Here is a 4,590-nt window from a genome sequence, read left to right as displayed (position 1 = left end):
TAGTCTTGGGAGAGTGTATGTGTCCAGGAATTTATCCATTTCTTCTAGATTTTCTAGTTTATTTGCGTAGAGGTGTTTGTAGTATTCTCTGATGGTAGTTTGTATTTCTGTGGTATCGGTGGTGATATCCCCTTTATCATTTTTTATTGTGTCTATTTGATTCTTCTCTCTTTTTTTCTTTATTAGTCTTGCTAGCGGTCTATCAATTTTGTTGATCCTTTCAAAAAACCAGCTCCTGGATTCATTAATTTTTTGAAGGGTTTTTTGTGTCTCTATTTCCTTCAGTTCTGCTCTGATTTTAGTTATTTCTTGCCTTCTGCTAGCTTTTGAATGTGTTTGCTCTTGCTTTTCTAGTTCTTTTAATTGTGATGTTAGGGTGTCAATTTTGGATCTTCCCTGCTTTCTGTTGTGGGCATTTAGTGCTATAAATTTCCCTCTACACACTGCTTTGAATGTGTCCCAGAGATTCTGGTATGGTGTGTCTTTGTTCTCATTGGTTTCAAAGAACATCTTTATTTCTGCCTTCATTTCGTTATGTACCCAGTAGTCATTCAGGAGCAGGTTGTTCAGTTTCCATGTAGTTGAGCAGTTTTGAGTGAGATTCTTAATCCTGAGTTCTAGTTTGATTGCACTGTGGTCTGAGAGATAGTTTGTTATAATTTCTGTTCTTTTACATTTGCTAAGGAGAGCTTTACTTCCCAGTATGTGGTCAATTTTGGAATAGGTGTGGTGTGGTGCTGAAAAAAATGTATATTCTGTTGATTTGGGGTGGAGAGTTCTGTAGATGTCTATTAGGTCCGCTTGGTGCAGAGCTGAGTTCAATTCCTGGGTATCCTTGTTGACTTTCTGTCTTGTTGATCTGTCTAATGTTGACAGTGGGGTGTTAAAGTCTCCCATTATTAATGTGTGGGAGTCTAAGTCTCTTTGTAGGTCACTCAGGACTTGCTTTATGAATCTTGCTGCTGCTGTATTGGGTGCATATATATTTAGGATAGTTAGCTCTTCTTGTTGAATTGATCCCTTTACCATTATGTAATGGCCTTCTTTGTCTCTTTTGATCTTTGTTGGTTTAAAGTCTGTTTTATCAGAGACTAGGATTGCAACCCCTTCCTTTTTTTGTTTTCCATTGGCTTGGTAGATCTTTCTCCATCCTTTTATTTTGAGCCTATGTGTGTCTCTGCACGTGAGACGGGTTTCCTGAATACAGCACACTGATGGGTCTTGACTCTTTATCCAATTTGCCAGTCTGTGTCTTTTAATTGGAGCATTTAGTCCATTTACATTTAAAGTTAATATTGTTATGTGTGAATTTGATCCTGTCATTATGATGTTAGCTGGTTATTTTGCTCGTTAGTTGATGCAGTTTCTTCCTAGTCTCGATGGTCTTTACATTTTGGCATGATTTTGCAGCAGCTGGTACCGGTTGTTCCTTTCCATGTTTAGTGCTACCTTCAGGAGCTCTTGTAAGGCAAGCCTGGTGGTGACAAAATCTCTCAGCATTTGCTTGTCTGTAAAGGATTTTATTTCTCCTTCACTTACGAAGCTTAGTTTGGCTGGATATGAAATTCTGGGTTGAAAATTCTTTCCTTTAAGAATGTTGAATATTGGCCTCCACTCTCTTCTGGCTTGTAGGGTTTCTGCCAAGAGATCTGCTGTTAGTCTGATGGGCTTCCCTTTGTGGGTAACCCGACCTTTCTCTCTGGCTGCCCTTAACATTTTTTCCTTCATTTCAACTTTGGTGAATCTGACAATTATGTGTCTTGGAGTTGCTCTTCTCGAGGAGTACCTTTGTGGCGTTCTCTGTATTTCCTGAATCTGAATGTTGCCCTGCCTTGCTAGATTGGGGAAGTTCTCCTGGATAATATCCTGCAGAGTGTTTTCCAACTTGGTTCCATTCTCCCCATCACTTTCAGGTACACCAATCAGACGTAGATTTGGTCTTTTCACATAGTCTCATATTTCTTGGAGGCTTTGCTCATTTCTTTTTATTCTTTTTTCTCTAAACTTCCCTTCTCGCTTCATTTCATTCATTTCATCTTCCATTGCTGATACCCTTTCTTCCAGTTGATTGCATTGGCTCCTGAGGCTTCTGCATTCTTCACGTAGTTCTCGAGCCTTGGTTTTCAGCTCCATCAGCTCCTTTAAGCACTTCTCTGTATTGGTTATTCTAGTTATACATTCTTCTAAATTTTTTTCAAAGTTTTCAACTTCTTTGCCTTTGGTTTGAATGTCCTCCCGTAGCTCAGAGTAATTTGATCGTCTGAAGCCTTCTCTCAGCTCGTCAAAGTCATTCTCCATCCAGCTTTGTTCCGTTGCTGGTGAGGAACTGCGTTCCTTTGGAGGAGGAGAGGCGCTCTGCTTTTTAGAGTTTCCAGTTTTTCTGTTCTGTTTTTTTCCCATCTTTGTGGTTTTATCTACTTTTGGTCTTTGATGATGGTGATGTACAGATGGGTTTTTGGTGTGGATGTCCTTTCTGTTTGTTAGTTTTCCTTCTAACAGAGAGGACCCTCAGCTGCAGGTCTGTTGGAATACCCTGCCGTGTGAGGTGTCAGTGTGCCCCTGCTGGGGTGCCTCCCAGTTAGGCTGCTCGGGGGTCAGGGGTCAGGGACCCACTTGGGGAGGCAGTCTGCGGGTTCTCAGATCTCCAGCTGCGTGCTAGGAGAACCACTGCTCTCTTCAAAGCTGTCAGACAGGGACTTTTAAGTCTGCAGAGGTTACTGCTGTCTTTTTGTTTGTCTGTGCCCTGCCCCCAGAGGTGGAGCCTACAGAGGCAGGCAGGCCTCCTTGAGCTGTGGTGGGCTCCACCCAGTTCGAGCTTCCCGGCTGCTTTGTTTACCTAATCAAGCCTGGGCAATGGCGGGCGCCCCTCCCCCAGCCTCGCTGCCGCCTTGCAGTTTGATCTCAGACTGCTGTGCTAGCAATCAGCGAGACTACGTGGGCGTCGGACCCTCTGAGCCAGGTGCGGAATATAATCTCGTGGTGCGCCGTTTTTTAAGCCCGTCAGAAAAGCGCAATATTCGGGTGGGAGTGACCCGATTTTCCAGGTGCCGTCCGTCACCCCTTTCTTTGACTCAGAAAGGGAACTCCCTGACCCCTTGCGCTTCCCAAGTGAGGCAATGCCTCGCCCTGCTTCGGCTCGCGCACGGTGCACGCACCCACTGACCTGCGCCCACTGTCTGGCACTCCCTAGTGAGATGAACCCGGTACCTCAGATGGAAATGCAGAAATCACCCGTCTTCTGCGTCACTCACGCTGGGAGCTGTAGACCGGAGCCGTTCCTATTCGGCCATCTTGGCTCCTCCCAAGCAGGTAATATTCAATTGTGTGGACTTTAATACAATGAGTAAACATCAAACAATGGTGTGAAAGGTTAGAGTGAGAACATCATTAAGGATCTAAATTAACTTAAATATTTCCGTTAGGAGAAAGGCACAAACCATTGTAATATTCATACTGAAATGCTGGATTATAGGGCCATAAGCCCTATCCTTGGGAAATAATTGTACAGGTTTAATGGCAGAATGTGCATTATATTTAACAGACATATGGAACCCCTACTAGCATCCAGGTAAAGCATTAGGAAGGTACTTAAAGATACAGAGATAATTAAGGCATACGGACCTTCACAATTAGTCAGAAAAACAGACAAGAAGAAATAAGCATTCGTACAAAAGTGTTTATGTTAATAAATTATTCAATGTTAAAGCTACAAGAACACTGAGATGGGAGTGATTAAATCTGCTGAATTTTATGTTGTGTATAGTTGTAAATAACAAGTGTATAAAAGATGAGAACTTCCATGCAATAGCAAGTTTTATATAGAGATGTTTTTAAAATTAAAAGGAACATGTAGGTCTCCCTCAATTTGCACAAATTTTCATAGAAGATGGCATCTATGGCACTTTGGGAAGCTAAGGCTGTTGGGTCTCTTGAGTCCAGGAGTTTGAGACCAGCCTGGGTAACATGGTGAAACCCCATCTCTATAAAACATACAAAAATTAGCCGGGCATGGTGGTGTGCACCTATAGTCCTAGCTGCTTCGGAGTCTGAGGGGGAAGGGTCACTGGATCCCAGGAGGTGGAGGCTGAGAAGAGGAACTGCAGAGGCATACAGGTGTCAGAAAGCATGGAGTTGTGGGGAACTCCATGTTTTTCAGTATAAATGGACTGTAATGTTTATTTGAGGGAAGAGCACTAGGAGAAGAGGCTGGAGCTGGGGCCACATAACGAAGGACTTTAAGTCGTGTTCCTAAGCTTAGATTTTGCATGATATTAAGGAAAAATAATCTAAGGAACTTAATAATTGAATGGGAGGTGGGGGGAAATCAAAATCATTCCAGATTTTGTCTTGGTTAATTAAATAGGGGGCAGTCTAAATCACCTAAATAGGAAACACAGGTTCTGGGGAGTAGCTAATGAGCTAGGTTTTACATGTTGAGTTTTAGAAGTAGTGATTCAAGTTTGGTAGTTGGATATATGAGTCTGAACTCAAGCAGGATTAAAGTGTAAGACTATGTTTAGATACACAAGAGGAAATCCAAAGAGGAATGGAGCCATAGGTGTTGGGTAAGTAGATTACATCAAGAATCAG

This window comes from Homo sapiens, chromosome 8 (assembly GCF_000001405.40).
Source record: "Homo sapiens chromosome 8, GRCh38.p14 Primary Assembly".
NCBI lineage: Eukaryota > Metazoa > Chordata > Mammalia > Primates > Hominidae > Homo > Homo sapiens.
The sequence above is the reverse complement of the archived record's forward strand: the minus strand, read 5'-3'. Positions refer to the sequence as shown.